At 40.9% G+C, this 19,559-nt stretch overlaps 1 protein-coding gene across 1 annotated transcript in view; it reads right to left on the bottom strand.

Moving 5' to 3' along the window:
- PALM2AKAP2 (PALM2 and AKAP2 fusion) overlaps positions 1-12,311 on the bottom strand; it is a 531,726-nt gene extending 519,415 nt beyond the window's left edge. Inside the window, exon 1 of the mRNA NM_001037293.3 lies at positions 12,232-12,311. Within this exon, the coding sequence (NP_001032370.1) occupies positions 12,232-12,236 (5 nt within the window). The 5' untranslated portion in view covers positions 12,237-12,311. The remainder of the gene's footprint in view (positions 1-12,231) is intronic.
- Positions 12,312-19,559: the final 7,248 nt, after the last annotated feature.

The following is a 19,559-nucleotide window of genomic DNA, read 5'->3' as shown; positions in this document are numbered from 1 at the left end:
AAGGTTAAGTCGGTTATTCAAACTAGTTTTAATACAGGATTTGGGTTGCTAATTTTTTAAGTAAATGACTTAACCAGTTGTAAGATGACTAGTCCAAACATTAAAGATTTTTTTATGCTAAATTAATTTCAAGGGCTATGAAATAGGCTTGGATTTTGACCTCATCTTAGAATCCCTGGACTCCTAAAATTCATTTAGGCTCCTGCCCCAAGGCTATGTGCCTCTGACAGATAGTATTCCATCAAACCTTTCCTTTGAATAAACACTTGCCATGTTTTATTATAATTACCTGACCAACTATGTTTCTCATTAGATTGTGACCCCTATGAAGGCAAAGACAATGTCTTACTCCTATTTGTACCACAGATACCCATAAAAGTGTCTGGCACATACCAGGTACTTAATAATTATGAGTTGAATGAATTAATAAATAAACATGATTGACAGAGAAATTGAAGTATTAAAAGTAGGGCAAGCAGTCTAAACAACAACTGACTTTTCAAGTATGAGATATGTATTAGTCTGTTTTTGCATTGCTATAAAGAAATACTGGAGACTAGGTAATTTATAAGGAAAACAGATTTATTTGGCTCACAGTTCTGCAGACTGTTCAAGAAGCATAACACCAGCATCTGCTTCTGGTGAGGCCTCAGGAAGCTTCCACTCACGGCAGAAGGTGAAGGGGAGCAGGAGTGTCACATGGCAAGAGAGAGGGGAGGAGGTGCCAGGCTCTGTTAAACAGTCAGCTCTTGCATGAGCTAATTTATTACTTCAGGGAAGGTACCAAGCCATTCATGAGGGATCCACCCTCATGACTCAAACACTTCTCACTAGGCCCCACTGCCAACACTGGGGATCACATTTCAACATGAGATCTGGGTGGGAGGACAAATATCCAAACTATATCAAAATACTATATAAAAGTCAGTGGATTGTGATATATTTAATTTATAACCCATTTATTCAGAACTTGTGAAACACACATTTTCATTACACTATATTTTATGCTTTTGTACTATCTGTGAAAAAGATTACACATGATGGTATAGACTTAATTGACTTGGCAGTAATTTAGGTAGCATCCATTTATGTACTATTAATAGGTTAAATTATCACATTTTTAAATAGCACATCAAATACTATAAAGACCTATTTACAAAAACAGAATTTCGACCAGGAATGTTCCTTCCTATAATGAAGAGAAATGAGATTTCATTTCTTTAAATAAAATAAAATTTTGATTAAGCCTACTCATAACTGAGATTGGTCTTCCCTCTAAGGCATCAAATTTGGGGAATTTTTATTATAAGTTATATATAAGAAAATGACATCTTTCAGTGGGAAGTAAATGAGCACTTTGATATCTGTGGAATAGGAGTGTCTCCTTCTTAAATATTTGAGTGTGCACATAACAACACTCAATATCTCTTCCCTATATTGGAACCTTGAGGTCCAATGACCAGAATGTATGAACAAACAGAAATCACCAGATTCCATCCCGGCAATAAGAAGGGTTCTCATAAGACTTTCAGTGCTTCTATCCTCACATGCTGTGTGAGCTAGGATCCCAGCTGGAAGCAGATGGCATACTCCAACTGGATAATTGAAATAATCTTAATAAAGAGACTGCTTTACAAAGGCAAAGGCAGAGCTGACAGTAACCCACAGCAATGGTGAAGCACCCAGGGGCTAACAAAGTGATAAGGGAGCCATCGCCACATCAAGTCCCAGAGGAGCAAAGGAAGGAAGTGGCTACCAGCAGTGGGAGAGAGCTGTAGCTGTAGCAGTAGGAAGGGCTGCTGTGGCCTTCAGAAGAGGAAAGATGCCCTGGCCAACCCACTGCCCTGTAGGAAGAGAAACCATAGATTAAACCGTACACTGACCTCAATTTTCTCTCATCCATGGTTCTCCTGCTGGTGCCTTCCATTGAGCCAACTCAACAGGAAGTCAAAGAGTAAGAGAGGCAAGCTGAGGGAGTCCATAGAGGTCAGCCTCACAGGGCACAAAGCACAGCCTCATGAGGCACATAGGCAGGGAAGGGTAGAAAATGGATTTGAAGGATGAGATGGAGAACATCACCAGATACACCCTTTCCAAAATACTTCTACTGCAAAGTATTTATAATCTCATTCATGAACTCTTTTTTTGCCATACACATTCCTAAGAATTGAGAGAGAATAAAGATATATAATAACAACAGATTTGTTAATAACAATGACATTTGGTAGTTACTAATATTATTTTCGTAGAAACACAAGATTCATTGATTCATTAACTCAAAGATATGGTAAAGTCTTCTCTGTGCTTCCCTCAAAGCCGCTGAAATGAACTAAAAGAAGGAAAAATTGGAAGGAAAATTGTGTCTACTGTGAGGCTAGGTATGGTGGCTCACCTCTATAATCCCAGCACTTTGGGATGCTGAAGTGGGAGGATTGCTTAAGGCCAGGAATTTGAGACCAACTTGGACAACTTAGTGAGAGCCTATCTCTAATAAAAATGAAAATAATTTAAAAATTAGCCAGGCATGATGGTGTATGCCTATAGTCCCATCTACTTTGGGCCCTGCGGCAAGAAGATCTCTTGAGCCCAGGAATTCAAGGCTGCAGTGAGCTCTGATTGTGCTACTATGCTCCAGCCTAGGTGACAGAGCAAGTCTTCATCTCTAAAAAACAAATAAATAAATGAATAAATTGATCTACTATGAAACTAGCAAAGAGCTACAATTCTCAAATCACAAGCTATAAGAATTATCTGCCAAACAGAGTATAATTTTTATTAAATCAGTGGACAACCCTAAAAGGTGATATAGTCCTCTACAGATCTTAACTGGCTTTCAAATTTCTCTCTAAGTAAGGAGAGAGTACACAAAGGCCCAATGTTTGGTGGTGAGAACTGGCAAAACGTGGGGGACATCTGTGTGAAGGGGCTGGTTCCCTACCAGAGTGAACTGATGGAGAAAGTGACACCGATGGCACTACTGTGTGAATCCTTAATGTTTATTATCTGCAAAACCCGAAAACTGAAAACCTTAACATGGAGGAATCATCTCAAGGCAAGAGATGTAGGAAAATAGAAGGAAAAGAGCAATTACCTTTGTAGTCGATTTGCCCTGCCACTCTCTTCATAAATGCTAAACCAAGTCATCAAGTAGTGGTAAAGCACCAAAAATCTGTCTACCCTCCCGCAACTCACACACACTCAGTAAGCTGGGATATGTGATCTGTCTGAATGATCTGCTCACTCTCTACACAACTTTTTTGAACAGAAGATATTGCAGAGTTGTAAGAATTTTTTATGAGACAAAATATCCAATCCAAAGCTAATGTCTCCCCCAAATCACTGTCTCCATCCCCTCTACCTATTCTTGGGCAAATAGTAGGTTTGGATAGAATTACCTCTATTTGGAAATGGATAATAAATGCAAAGCCATTAACATGCATAGATTCTATATGCAGAGTTATTATTTTTATAAAAATGAGTTACCAGCAAATGGCAGATAAATACATTTCAGAAAAATAGCCCAAAAAATACAGATAATTTTCTGATAAACTACTCTCCATACATTCAAAAAAATTGGATACATGAACTCTTTATTTTAAAAAGTGCAAAATGTGCTAGCCAAGCCAGAAAATAAATTGAAGATAACCATAAAACCATTTCAGAAGTGAGCCCTACTTAGAAACTGCTGCTTAAAAAGAGAGTCAACTATCTACATGACAGACTTTTAAATGTAAGGAAACTCATAGGAACATCAGGAAAAAAATGAGAAAAATTCAGAATTAATAGTTATGGAGAGCAATGGGTAATAGATGTCCCTGTGGTAGATAACAGAACAAATAGATTCTTCAATTGAAAGCCACAGGGAAAATATCTTTACAAAAAAATAAAGGAAAATATGACTCTTCAGAACAAAGGAACTACCATTTTCCAGAAAAAAAAAACAACAACACAATGACTTACAGTAAGAAATATCAAAGAGAAGTTACCAAACTTTCAGTGTTTAAAAATAACTTGATCAGCATCAAAGCCAAAAAAAAAAATTGCAGGAGTGGGAGGGATGGGAGTAGGCAAGCCATCTACAAAGAAGAAATAGTCTAGCCTCAGACCTTCCCAGAGCAAGGGTCAATGCCAGAACACAATGGAATGACATCTTGGAGAATTATGAGGGGCTAAAAACATGATTCTATAATTTTATACACATTCAACTTGTTTGTTCATAGAAACAACCAACAGGCATTTAGAATTTAATACACTTTGGCCCTGTTTGAAAACAAACCCTTTTAACTAAACACTAAATCAACCTATAAGATGCTCAAAAAAGAGGATGTCATTGATGAAAGGGCTGGTGGTGTTCTGACTGCATTTAGATCCAAGACTAACACTGAGCCCACAAAGCATGGCCCTGCCTCAGGACCTTTGCAACTGCTCTTCCTTCTTCTGTATGTCTCATCCCCTCACCTTGTTCAAGTCTCTATCCAAACTTACCAAGTCAGAAACCTGTTCCCTGATGACACTATCAAAAATAACCCTCCCATCACTCTCCAGTCTCCTAATGTGCTTAATTTTTTTAACATTTATTGCTTCCTGACAAAGTATATATGTAATATATGTATTGTCTGTCTCCTCTAACACAATATAAGCTCCTTTGCCTCTTTGACAATTTACTGCTGTATTCTCAGTGCTTGGAGCAGTGCCTAGGATGAAAAGGGCACTCAAAAAGAATCCGTCGATTGAATGAATTAAGAGAATTATGTTCAAATTTGCAAATGCTAAAAACTTTGAAAACATAAAACTAACACTAAGTATTAGTCCATTTTCACACTATTATAAAGATACTACCTGAGACTAGATAATTTGTAAACAAAGAGGTTTTATTGACTCACAGTTCTGCATGGCTGGAGAGGCCTCAGGAAACTTACAATCATGGTGGAAGGGGAAGCAGGCACGTCTTACATGGCAGCAGGACAGAGAGAAAGAGCAGGGGAAACTGCCACTTTTAAACTATCAGATCTTGTGAGAATTCACTCACTATCATGAGAACAGCATGGGGGAAACCATCCCCATAATCCAGTCACCTCCTACCAGGTCCCTTCCTGAACACATGGGGACTACAGTTTGAGATGATATTTGGGTGGGGACACAGAGCCAAACTATATCACACTATAACTGCAACAAATGGTAAAAGGGGGGCTAAGTGACATGTGCTCATTTCCTCAACTTTAAGGTAAGAAATCTATCAATAAAGTCTAAATTTGATGAACTGTAAAACAATCACTTGATCACTTTTAAAAGTCAATGAGATATTTTAAGCTTTGTCTTTGTAAGTGATTTTCACTGTCTTCTGAACATTTGCACCTTGTGGCTTACTAGGGCTCTCTGAGAAAGTGACAAGTAGACAGAGCAAGAGCACAGACCACGACCACTGACAGTGATGATGTACATCAAGTTAGACTAGTCAAACATAAATATTCAAATATGAATATATAATGTGGCTAGGGTTGTCAAGGATTTGGGGAAACAGGGGCTCTCAAACATGATGAATGGCAATGTAAAGGGATACAATACTTCCGGAGGCACCTGGGCAATATCTAACAAAATTCACAATGTGCATATTCACTCACCCAGCAATTTCATTTCTAGAAAATTGTATGCAGACTTATTTGCAGTGTGGACAAGGATGTTCATTGTAGCATTGAAAATAGTAGCAAAAAGTGGAAACAAGTCTAACTCTTCATCATGAAGAACTGGTTAATGATATTCCAAAAGTAAATACTAAGCAGTTTTATAAAAGTGAATGAAGTAGATGTGTATATATTGATATTCAAAGCATGTGCTTTACCACTGAGCTACACAGGCTGACATACATTGATAAGAAAAAGTATGTAGAATATAATATGAAGTGGAAAAAGCAAGCTGCAGAACAACATATGTGGTATGATTTCATTTATGTAAAAGAAATATTTAAACCTATATATATATATAAGTGTTTCCAACTCTATGATGTTTGCATGGAAAATATCTGGAAAGAGGTTTCCCAAGCGTTCATGGTAATCACCTCTAGGAACTGAGATATGAGTGAGAGAATGGAAAATGGGGATATTTACTTCATAAACTTCCGTAATATTTGAATTGTTTTAAAAAGCATACATTACTTTCATCATAGAAATTAACTTCTAAAAGTCTTACACATTTCTAAACACATTTGTTTAATGCCCACCATATGCTGAGCACACGAAATGCCACATTTTGTGTCATCAGAAGACTGATTCAGCAAGAAAAATAGTTCAAACTCACAAAGTATCCATAGTCACACATAGACTAAGCCGTAAGCTCCTTGAAGACAGGGTAAGGGATGTTTTTAATCACCATTTATCGCAAGTACCTATCACAGTGCTTCATACATAGAAAGTATTCAATAAATATTTGCTAACTAAATGAGTTACTGGATGAATGAATGAAGGCATATGTTAAGAACCTTAAGTTATCTGTAACTTAATGTCCCTACTGCACTTATTCTTTCATGAACCTAGATTTATTCATTTGCAGAATCAAACTTCAGATGTTTCATGATCACCACTGGATGCTATAAGCCTAAGTCCATGTGATAACAGGCATCTGACTGGTGATGGGGAATGCCACTTCTGGTCCAAGGCTGCCACCCACATTGTCAGAGCCCCAGGGCTTACAGGGATCGCAACAACTTAGAGTTCTCGTGTTATGTTCTTTGTGCCTTTTGGATCCCATACTGTTTTGAAGACCATTCCAGAGAAGTGTGAGGCAAAATCTATAGGTGTGGCATCAAATTAATAACTGCAGGTGTTAAAGTGCATTCCTACAAACACATGGATCTCATACCCAACCCACCCAGGAGGGCAGCAAGTACCTGCCATTGCCTGATGTTTCATGTACCACACAAGAACACTGACATGGTACAGAACATGACACCAACCCTACCTTCTGGTTTTCCAGTAGGTCTTCTCTGTTCTACACATCCAGTACAGAGCATGTCACTAAGAAAAATTTTAACTTCAATCAGTTAGTACCCTCTTTTCTTGTTTATTACCTAGATTTTTCTTTCTTTCTTTTATTTCTTTTTCTGCTTGCTTTGGATTTAGTTTGCTCTTCTAGCCTCTTAAGGTGGAAATTAGACTTTTCTTCTTTTCCAAGATAGACCTTTTGTAAATTTTATTTTATTTTAGATTCAGGTGAGTACATGCGCAAGTTTGTTACATGGGTATATTGTATACTGGTGGGGACTGGGCTTCTAATGTACCCATTACCCAAATAGTGAACACTGTACTCAATAGGTAATTTTTCAACCCTTGTGCCTTCCCACCCTTCCCTGTTTTGAGGTTCCCAGTATCTATTATTTTCATCTTTATGTCCATGTGTACACATCATTTAGCTCTCACTTATAAATGAGAACATGCAATATTTGGTTTTCTGTTTCTGAGTTAGCTCATTTAGGATAATGGCATCCAGCTCCATCCACATTGCTGTAAAGGACATGATTTTATTCTCTTTTATGGCTGGGGTTTTTTTTTTTTTCTTAAACTAAGAAGCTCTTATTTTACTAAAACCAACAATACTTGTGAAAAAAATGACTATGTATCCTCATTTTCACTAGGTTTCATTTTAAATTGGAAACCTTGGTGATATGGTTTCTCTCTGTGTCCCCACCCAAATCTCGTCTTGTAGCTCCCACAATTCCCATGTGTTGGAAAGCACCTGGTGGGAGATGATTGAATCATGGGGGCAGGCCTTTCCCTTGCTGGTCTCATGATAGTGAATGGGTCTCATGAGATCTGGTGGTTTTTAAAATTGAAGTTTCTCTGCACAAGCTTTCTTTTTGCCTGCTGCCCTCCACATAAGATGTGACTTGCTCCTCCTTGCCTTCTGCCATGATTGTGAGGCTTCCCCAGCCACATGGAACTGTGAGTTCACCATTAAACCTCTTTCCTTTGTAAATTGCCCAGTCTCAGGTATGTCTTAATCAGCAGCATGAAAACAGACTAATACAGTACATTGGTACCAGTAGAGTTGGGTGTTGCTGAAAAAATAGTCAAAACTGTGAAGCCAACTTTGGAATTGGGTAACAGGCAGAGGTTGAAACAGTTTGGAGGGCTCAGAAGAAGACAGGAAAATGTGGGAAAGTTCGGAACTCCCTAGAGACTTGCTGAATGGCCTTGACCAAAATGCTGATAACGATATGGACAATGAAATCCAGGCTGAGGAGGTCTCAGATGGAAATGAAAATTTTGTTGGGAACTGGAGCAAAGGTGACTCTTGTTATGTTTTAGCAAAGAAACTGGCAGCATTTTTCCCTTGCCCTAGAGATTTGTGGAACTTTGAACTTGAGAGAGATGATTTAGGGCATCTGGTGGAAGAAATTCCTAAGCAGCAAAGCATTCAAGAGGTGACTTGGGTGCTGTTAAAGGCATTCGGTTTTATAAGGGAAGCAGAGCATAAAAGTTGAGAAAATTTGCAGCCTGACAATGTGATAGAAAAGAAAAACCCCTTTTCTGAGGAGAAATTCAATCAGTATACACACATATTTACTGATTTAACATCTATCTCTCATCAGACAAAGAGAATCATGACTGTTTTGTTGACCAGTGCTAATCTCAACAAACGTTTGTTGGTTAAATTAAAACATAAAAGAAGTGAATTTAATTCCCTCTTTTAATAAATGTTTATAAATATAAGTTGGTTACAGTAAGTAAGGGGAATGGAGTCCCTATTTCACTCATATTCAAAGTGGGCTTTTCTACCGGAGATGAAATCTGGGGAGTGTTTAGATTGAAGGGTAGGGGCAGTATTTGGCACAAGGGAAATGTTGTGAGACCCAAGGAGGGACAGGAAAAGATGATATTCTAAAAGGGAAAAAAGAAAGAAAAAGCTCACTATATTAAGTGATGTAGATTGGATGTCCCCCTCCAGGTATCATGTTGAGATGTAATCCCCAGTGTTGTACATGGGGCCTGGTGGGAAGTGTTTTGGTCCTGGGGGTGAATCCTGGGGATGGGGCCTTGGTGTTCACTCGCAATAGTGAGTGAGTTCCCCTGAGATCTGGTTGTTTAAAGTCTGTGACACCCCCGCCACCCCTTGCTCTTGCTCCTGCTCCCACCATACAACTTGCCAGCCTTCTGCTTCACCTTTCTCCATGACTGAAAGCTTCCTGAGGCCTCACCGGAAGCTGAGCTGACTCCTGTACCACACTTCTATACAGCCTGCAGAATCATCAGCCAATTAAAGCTCTTTTCTTCATAAATTACCCTGTCTCAGGTATTTCTTTATAACAATGCAGGAACAGCCTAATACATTAAGGAAGCAAACGAAGTAGGGCAGAAAACAGAGTTGGAAATTGGGAAGGTTAACCAGGAAGTGAGAACTTTGGAATGTTGCTTGGGAATGGGAAAGCTGAGGCCAAGTTGATTAGGGAGAAGGAGGCTAATTGAGGCAGTAATTTGGATCCTGTGGAGCAAGAAGAATGTGATGAGGAAGGTCTTTGTTCACAAGGAGTTCCAGGTGTGAGCTTAGCACACCTGGAGGAAACCTTAGCCAGGAGACTCAGAGGGAATGTGGGAAAAAGCTGAGGACCTTTGTAAACTTACCAATCCTGTGTGCTGTTCCAGTTATTGAGCACCCAAGTGCTAAGTCTGGGAGAAACATATCAAATATTAGATTATCCATGTGAGAGCATAAAGATGAAAGTTGCTGCCCTGGCAAATGACCAGGCTCTCCTTTAGCGCTACCCAGTGAGAGGACTAGATCTATGTTCAGTCTCTTGTAAAGGACAGTCTCCATGTCTAAGAAAATGACAGTGAGGAACAAGAATGAAGTGTGCATCAGGCCGAGTCTGTTCCGTATATCCAAGCCTGCTGTGGCTTCTTGCTAGTTCTCACATCAACAGTGGTATCTTGGGAATTATGTTACTCTCAATTGCCCTTCAGGCATTGTCTTTCCCTTTCTTTCCTTCCTTCCCTCCCTCACTCCCTCCCTCCCCCTCTTTCTTTCTTTCTTTCTCTTTCTTTCTTTCTCTTTTTCTTCTTCCTTCCTTCCTTCCTTTCTTTCTTTTTTTGAGATGAGGTTTTGCTCTGTCACCCAGTGCAGTGGTGCAATTATAGCTCAGCGCATTCTCAAACTCCTGGGCTCATCAAGACTTCCTACCACCTCTGTCCTCAAAGCACTGAGATTGCAGTCATGAACCACCACACCATGTATTTCTTTATAAATTAAAAAAAAAAAAAAAAGACTGGGCATGGTGGCTCACACCTATAATCCCAGCAAGACCGGGGCAGGAGGATTGCTTGAGCCCAGGAGTTCAAGACTAGCCTGAGCAACATAGGACAATCCCGTCTGTATGAAAAATTAAAAATTAGCTGGGCATGGTTGTGCATGCCTGTAGTCCCATCAGAAGGCTGAGGTGGGAGGATTGTTTGAGCCCAGGAGGTCAATACTGCAGTGAGCCATGATAGCGCCATTGCACTCCAGCCTGGGTGACAGAGTGAGACCCTGTCTAAAATGAAGAATAGCTTGGTGCCAATCCGAAACCCCAATAAATGCTGTAGACTGTAGTATTAGGTTGGTGCAACAGTAATTTGCGGTTTTTGCCGTTGAAAGTAATGGCAAAAACTGCAATTACTGTTGCACCAACCTAATAATAATAGATAATATTCATAGATAATAGATGATATTTATTGAGCTTATTTTATGCCAGGCTCTGTTCTAAGAACCTTATATGTGTATGTATCAATTTACATCATTAACTTCCTTAATGTTCACAAAAAGTACATGAAATAGTTACTATTATTATTCCCATTTTCCAGATGGGGAAAATGAGGCCCAGGGAGATTAACATCATTCAGCAAAGTGTCAGAAGCCTCAAACCAGCCAATCTGACTCTAGAGCCCAGCTCTTAAACATGACACTAGTTCCTTAAATTTGTACATATCTTACAATTTACAAAGCCCTTTGGAAGAGATACAGATATTACATGATCCTCTCAATAATGCTTCAAAGTGAGTAAGGAACATCTTTGTTTCCATTGCAGAGATAGGGAAACTGAGGCTCAGAGACATTCAATTGCTGGAGTAGGAAATCAATAACAGCAGTATCAGGCTAGGTGGGGCCTGAAATCCATGACTGTGACTCCTACAATGCTACACCATCTCTCACTTCTGCTTTAGCAGCCTTTCTGAGGATTAAATTGCATCTACACAATCAGATACGCAGAGGGATAAAGGCTGCATCTAAGGTTTCTTGGGTTTGGTACGAAGGTCCTGATGTCTGAAAACATGACTTTATCTCTAACTTGAAATATGATTTCAGACGGCCTCAATGTCAAGGAGTAGTGTGGGAAGAGAACGGAAGAGGAGAAGCTGACCAAGTGAGCGGGATCTAATAGCTGGCTCCAAAAATGACCCTTCCTTGGAGTGGCTGGCTGTCGCCTGTCAGAGTGGTCCTGCTGTGGCAGCAGCTCGAGAGAGTGTCCAAAAAGCAATGTAGGGATGCAAACACAGAGAAGAGAGGAATCCTAGACCAGACCCACAACCGGAGCCCTTTATTTAATGTCTTTTCTGGTTAATGCCTCTCTTGTCTTCCCCACCCATCCATGCCGTATTCACGGTGCCAAACGTTGTAATTCCACTCCGGGCTGCCGCCAATATGTTTGTCTTATTTCTCCAATACCCCAGGAACAAATCAATTCTTTTGGGTCTTCTGATGGTTTCTAGTAGCCAGGACATTGCAGCCCTGGCTCATATTACCCACTAACTCATCCTTCCATTACACGCTTCACACTGAACCGCGTTTGCTTCCGATCCGCAGTGACCCCCTCCCTCTTTTTTTAACTGCAGTCCAATAATGCTGACATGGTTAGGAATCGGAAGTCATGGCTATTGCGGCCAACTCCCCGATAAGCGGAAGCTTGGGGCAGAGATAGGAAAGCCTAGAATATGCCTCCGTCCTTAGCAACATCATCTACTCCCCTCACTCGCCCCCCAGGCCCTGCTAGCCAAGGGGCAGCCGCAAAAACCACGCCACCCGGGGCTCCCACCCCTTGCCTCCTGCCGCCGCGGCGGCTGCTATAGAAACACCAGGCGTACACACGGGGCTGAAATTAAACACCCATCCTGGACGCGGACCCGAGCGGGATCTGCCTGCCGCCGCGGTCACCATGGCAACATGCCGAGAGGAGAGCAGCTGGCGGCGCGGCTCGGGGATACTCACTCCATCGCGGGGCTCCGCGGCCGGGTGCGCTGCTGCGGGGCTCACCGGCGCTGCTCGCCTCTCCCGGAGCCGAGTGCACTGGCCGCGCCGCGCGCGAGGTGGAGCTGGGAGCCGTCTCCCCTCCCCACCCGCACCCCCTCCTCCCCTGGAGGGTTGAAAGTGAATGCTCAGGCTCTCTCAGCTCCCAGCCTGCGAATAAAACGGGAAGCAATTGGATAATGTTGTTCGCTGGGCGCTAGACAAGACACCCCACTTCAGGGTTTCGGGGAGGGAGCGCGCTGGCAGCTGGCGTCGGGTGAGGTGCCCACCAGCGCGCAGTGCCGTGCGCCCTAGGCGCCAGGTGCGCCGGCGGCTCCCCTGGGACTGGCGGCGCGGCGCGGAGCCTGGGGAGAAGGGTGGGTGGGGGAGCAGGGCGGCTGCGGCTGGTGGCACAGCCCAGAGGGCATAGGCAAACGGTTGAGTCATTGGCAAGGTGGCAGCTCTCGCCGCTTAGAAGTTGCAAGAAGCGTCTGGCCTCTGCAAGCAGCAAGGACTGCCCCCAGTGGGCTGGGCATGGGTTCAGAAACGCCATTGTGCCGGCCGGGCGAGATCCCTCTGAGTTTCCCAAGCAAAACTCCAGCTATCTTGAAGCGCCTTAATGCGGCGTTTCACCACCTTGGCGACCCCATGCCCCTTTCCGTTTCACTCCAAATTCTGCGTGTTCCCGCCTGCCAGGAAGACATTGTCCAGGGTCAGTTTCCCTAGTCTGCTATTTGAAAACAATAGCTATATTGACTATGGTTTCCCAAATTACCACGGCCCCGGCCCCGCGGTAATAAGCCACCTGGAGTACGCACACCCTGCCTCCACCCCCTCTGAGAATCCTCTACTCCTAACGGTTTCCAGAGCAGGGACCTGGTTGTCATCCAGGTGTCCTGCACCTGCTACAATACAGAGTAGATGGGACAGCTTCAGGCTTTTCTTCTATCTTGCAGCCGGGTCCCTCTGTGAGTCGGTGTCTGCCAGGTGCTGAAAACGCAGCACCAAGCATAAGCATAGCCATCACAGTCCCTGCCCTGCAGGAGCTCACGGGTTAAAGTAGAAAGGCAAAGCACAGATAAAGACAAAAATAAACATATCGTCACAGGCTGAAAATATTGCTATAAAAATTAAGTAATTAGATGCTGTGATGAATGTTCTAGAATTAATTTTTGGTGATGATTGTGCAACTGAACATACTGAAAGCTATTGAATTATACACTCTGGGTGAATTTTGTGGTCTATGAATTATGTCTTAATAAAGACGTGTTTTTTTAAAAAAATGCTTTGATGGAGAATAAAAGGGAAGTGGATGTGCCTAGGTAGGTGTTCAGGGAAAGCCTTCCTGAGGGACTGGGGTTGAAAGGGGAGAGGGCTCAGATATGCAAGCCACAGGGCTAGGGCTTTCCTGCCAGTCAACTCTGTATGGTGGCTCTAGATGGGAGACTGCTCCATATGTCAAGGGGCTGGGAAGAGAACCGTGCAAAATGTTCTCAGTGGATTCACTGCTCCTCGTTTTCCTCAGGAGAGTGAGATGCAAAGTCAAACCCAGTGAAGATTCAAAGAGCTGTTTTGTGGAAGGAAATTCTGTATCAACTCCAGGTTTCCCTTCACAGAGAAATTCTATGTGAATTCGGAGATCATAAAACCCTCCCCCAGTCCATGTCCCTTTCCAGTTGCATATAGGATTAAGTTCATGTGTGAATAATTAAGAGGCTTAAACAGGAAAAAGATGTGCTTTTGTGTCTTAAAAGTTCAGAGATAAGCTGTCCTGGGCCAGTTTATCAGCTCAACTCCTGAAAGAGCAAAGAGATCCAGGCTCCTACAAAACATTGCTCTATCATATGTGGTCTCCCTTCCTAAAATTGTTTCATGGTCCAAGTTGGCTGCTCTGGCTCTAGCCCTTATGTCTGCATTCCAGCCAACATAAATGTGGAAAGAGGAAAGAAAAGTAGGTAAAGGAAGCACGCCTGATGCCTCTTAAGAAAGGCTCCCAGAAGCTGCCTCAGGACACTTAGATCTCCTTGGCCAGAATTCAGTCACATGGCTACATTCAGTTTCCAGGGAGAGTAGACAAAGAAGTCTTTACTCTGCATAGTCATGAGCCTATCCAAAAGTTGAGACCTCCATTCCCATGTAAGAAGGGGAAAATTGGTATGGGGGACAGACAACCAGTAATCTTTGCCATTCTCCTCAATGCTTAGCGTTCTGGCTTCTGCCTCCCCCATGCCGCTGCCACTGCTCCCTGTAAAGTCCCCAATGCCAAATGGATATGTCTCAGTCCTCTTCTTATGTCATTTTAAAGCTGTGTTGAACATTTTAACAGCTCCCTTTTGTTTTTGATTTTTTTACTTGAAGTCAGGTTTATTCAGGTATAATTTATAGGCAGTGGAATTCACCCTTTGTAGGTGTACAGGCCTATGAGTTTAGATACATTATGCAATCATGTAACTACCACCATAGTCAATATATTACATGACCATCACCCCCAAACAGTTCTTTTAAGTCCCTTCATAGTCAATCCACTCCTCCTAACTCCAGCCTCTGGCAACCACTGGTCTCATCTCTGTTCTCATGATTTTGCTTCTTCTAGAATATCATATAAATGGAATCAGACAGTATGTAGCCTTTCATGTTCAATTTCTTTCACATTGCAAATGCTTTTGAGATCCATCCATGTTGTGTATATAGGTAGGTAGGTCCTTTTCATTGATAAGTACAGCTTTCAATTGTACAGATGCACCACAATGTGTCTATCCATTCACCACTTGAGGAATATTTGTTGTTTTCAGTTTATGGCAATTATGAAATAAAACTGCTATAAACATTCATGTACAGGTCTTTATGTGAATAAATGTATTCTTTTTGGGGTAAATATTTAGAGTCATCCCTTCCATCTTGAAACAGTCTTCTGTGACAACACAGTACCACACCTCTCTAGCTACCCCTTCTATTTGTCTCTTAAATCTTGGTGTTCTGGAGGATTCTTGCCTAAATTCTCTTCACTTCTCACTCTACATACCCTCCTCGAGCAATTTCATCTACTTTTATGGCTTAACTTAACCACCAATATGATGCTGACTTCCAAAACTAAGTTTGTCGTCCAGATCATGCTCTTAAACTTCAAAACCGATTCCCAAAGGTCATTGTAACATCTTCACAAACACCTCAAACCCAGTATGTCCCAGAAGCACTTGTCATTTTCACCTATAAATCTCTCCCTAATAACCTGCCCCCTATCCTAATACCAGAAAGGATGTAAGGCCTCACCCAAAAATCTGGGTGTCTGTCTTGATTTCTAACCATCCTGACCTCCCATATCCAGTCAATGAACAAGATTTATCCAGGCTATCCTCTAAATAGTCATCAAGGCCATTCACTTCTCTCCAACCCCATTGCTATTGTTAAAAAAGCCTCTCTCGGCCTCCTTGCCCCCAGTCACATCCAAAGCAACCCACTCAACCCTACAGCCAGAGCAAACTTCCAAAGACACTAATCTGATCATATCATCCCCCTGCCTGAAACCTTTCAAGGGCATTTCTTAACTTTAATATAAAGGTTAAATTGAGTTTTAGGTACATCCTAAGTTTTTTAAAGTTAGTAGACTGACTATTACAATTTTCAAATGCAATAGGAAAATAAGAAAAATTCATTTTATAGGGCTGGGTTATGCCTTATTAAGAGTCACAAATATATTTTCTGCTATATTAACTGTAGAAAAAAAATAACAGACTGTAGAGTCAAACAGACTTTTATTAAAATTCCAGCTTTACATTTACTAGCTTTGTGAACTTGGATCTATTACTTAACCTAAGTCTCAGGTTTCTTTACCTATAAAATGAGGGCAATAATACCTATCTTTAAATGTTGTTTTGAAAATTAAACACAAAGTGTATTAAATGCCTAGAACAGAGTCTGGTACTTAGTAGATACTCAATAAACAATAATCTAATTAGCTAATCCTCATCATCATCCTCATTACATTGCAATTTTCCCTGAAATTTCAAACATTTTAATAGCTATATCTTTATTTATCTTCATGATATCCCTTTGAAGAAAGGAAACCAGTACAGATAACAGACACTGAGAAGACCAATTTGTTTATTTTCGTTAATGAAGTAAGAATGTTAGCCCAGGTAATCTATTTATTTACTTAAAATAATATAGATTCTACTGGTAAATATAGCATAGCTATCTACATCCATTAGTCTATTTGTGAACTATATGTTATCACTAACGGTGTTAGTCCATTTACATTGCTATAAAGGAATACCTGAGACTGGGTAATTTATCAATAAAAGAGGCTTATTTTGGGTCACAGTTCTACAGACTGTACAGGAAGCATGATGCTGGCCTCTGCTCCTAGTGAGGTCTTAGGAAGCTTACACTTGTGGTAGAAAGCAAACGGGGAGCCAGTATATCACATGGCAAGAGTGGGAGCAAGAGAGAGGGAACAAGAGAGAGTAGCGGTCCCAGACTCTTAAACCACCAGATATCGCATGAACTAACAGAGCAAGAACTCACTCATCACCAAGGAAATGGCTCTAAGCCATTCGTGAGGGATCCACCTCCATGATCCAATACCTCCCACTAGGCCCCACCTCCAACACTAGGGATCACATGTTAACATGAGATTTGGAGGAGACACACACTCAGACCATATCAGCTACAAAGTAGCAGAGTATGACTATGCAGATACATGGGTACACATTCTCTAATAGTTAATTCATTAGCTAGTTAATTAGTGAAATCATAGTTAATTCATTAAGCTGAGTTCACTGAGGATCCTTTGCACACCAAGTACATATTAATGCCTCTCTAACCTGGAAGTCAGTAAATTAACAGCTCTTCCTATCTGAAATGTAGTTTAGAATTGGGAAATAAGCAAAACAATGATATCATAAAGTCCATGCTAGAAGCACTTATTCTTACTTTCTTGAGGTCATAAACTTCTGATGAAAAACACACAGGTGGCACAAACCCACATTTTGCTGAAAATATCAGGGCATTTGCTGATGCTCTGAAGCTCATCCCTTGTCCATGGACCTTGGGCTAAGTTCTTCTAGTCTGAAATTTGCAATTTCCTTGCTTATATGTTGTTTTATATTCATCCTGCAATTATCCTATAGGACAGTTATTTATTATCATCATTTTATAGATGAAAAAACTTAAGTTTAGAGTAGTTAAAAACTTATCCAAGTCATAGCAGTAAGAGTCAAATTTATCAACAGAACCGAAGTCTTCAACCTCCTGATCTATCAAAGAATGATTCACCTTGGACAGCAAAACCTAATGGGATTTCACATAGGCAAAATGCATGAGCTTTACAACAGAAATACTTTCTTAAAATTTTTTTAATAGTTTTGAGGGTACAGGTGGTTTTTGGTTACGTGGATCAATTCTTTAGTGGTGATTTCTGAGATTTTAGTGCACCTGTCACCCAAGCAGTGTACACTACACCCAATATGTAGTCTTCTATCCCTCACCTCCCTCCCAACCTTCCCCCTCAAGTTCCCAGAGTCCATTATATCATTCTTATGCCTTTGCATCCTGATAGCTGAGCTTCCACTTACAAGCAAGAACATACAATATTTGGTTTTCCATTCCTGAGTTACTTCACTTAGAATAATGGCCTCCAGCTCCATCCAAGTTGCTGCAAAAGACATTATTTTGTCAGTTTTTGTGGTTGAGTAGTATTTCATGGTGTATATATACACCGTATTTTCTTTGGTTGATGGGCACTTAGGTTAGTTCTTTATCTTTGCAATTGTGAATTGTGCTGCTATAAACATGTGTGTGCATGTGTCTTTTTCATATAATGATTTATTTTCCTTCAAATAATTATCAAGTAGTGGCATTGCTGGATGGAATGGAAGTTCTATTTTTAGTTCTTTAAAGAACATCCATACTAGAACAGAAATTCCTAAACTGGGGGCCATGTATGGGTGTCAGGGATTTGGCTGAGACTATAGATAGAATTATGGCTTGGGAGGAGGTAGGGGATAGAGAAGAGGGGTCCACACTTCTCACCAGGATCTCAGTGTTCCCTGATTCAAAACAAACAAACACAACTCTATATATGACTAGATATAACACTTAGTATGTTTGGTTAAATGGTTTTCTGGTTTACTAAAAATAGAAACACACATGAGAAGGGGTTGGAGAAAAACAGGAAAAGTGGTACTTTAGGCAGTAACCACTACAAGGAAGAAAACTGTGAAAATGCACACAAGGCAACAACAGCCACCAAAACATCAGTTCGGGACCACACTTCAACATGTGTGAAGGTTGTTTAAAAGGGGAATACACAGGCTTACATATCTCAGTAGTTCCCGAGAACATTAAGCAGTAACAATGTTCAGCACCCGTGTTTAACTAAACAGGCTGTCACAATTTTCCATTCAGAGTAGGCTCTTCATGTTTCCAATTTGGCTAGGCTAAAATTTAGTTGTTTGGAAAATGTATTCATTTCCATATTCAGGTGGCATTGTTGTTCCTTGTCAGTGTTGGATGGATGGACATATCACCATAATTTAAAATGTCTATCTGAGTATGATGGGAATAAGAACGAGCACAATCACTGTCAAGCTCAATGCAGCTTTCCAATGTATTAACAAACCAAAAGCAAACCACTAGATTGATAATCAAAATGTAAAAACAAGTAGTCTTCTCATCTACTTGGTATTAGTGGATTTCAGTTGTATTCCTACAGTAGGAAGTATTATATCCTATGGAGCTTCCTGTACTTTTTTACTTTTTATACCATGCACTGTTTTGCCTTTTTATATTACCATGTACATAATGCTACTGTTAGAGACGTGTAGAAAAGAAACATCTCTAACTGAAGTTAGGTATTTGTTCATCTAGCGCTGTATGGTGGAGGGGGGGTCAGAGGGTGTAATTCAATAATTTATGGTTCTGGGCACAGTGGCTCATGCCTATAATCCCAGTACTTTGGGAGGCTGAATCAGGAGGACTGTTTGAGTCCAGGAGTTTGAGACTGAAATGAGCTATGATAGAGCCATTACACTCCAGCCTGGACGACAGAGCAAGACCCTGTTACAATAAATAAACAAATTTATAATACTTTATAATATAAACATATTAACATACCAAAAGCAAACCATCAGATTGATAATTAAAATATAAAAACAGGCAGTCTTCTCATCTACCTGACATTACTAGAGTACTTGACATGACTGTGGTCCAGCCTGGACAACAGAGCAAGACCCTGTCTCAATAAGTAAATAAATAATGGATGGAGTTTCGTTCATCTGTAGACTTCCCACTTGGTTATAGGGCTGGAGTTA

The sequence above is a fragment of the Homo sapiens genome, chromosome 9 (assembly GCF_000001405.40).
Source record: "Homo sapiens chromosome 9, GRCh38.p14 Primary Assembly".
Taxonomy (NCBI): Eukaryota; Metazoa; Chordata; class Mammalia; order Primates; family Hominidae; genus Homo; species Homo sapiens.
The sequence above is the reverse complement of the archived record's forward strand: the minus strand, read 5'-3'. Positions and strand labels throughout refer to the sequence as shown.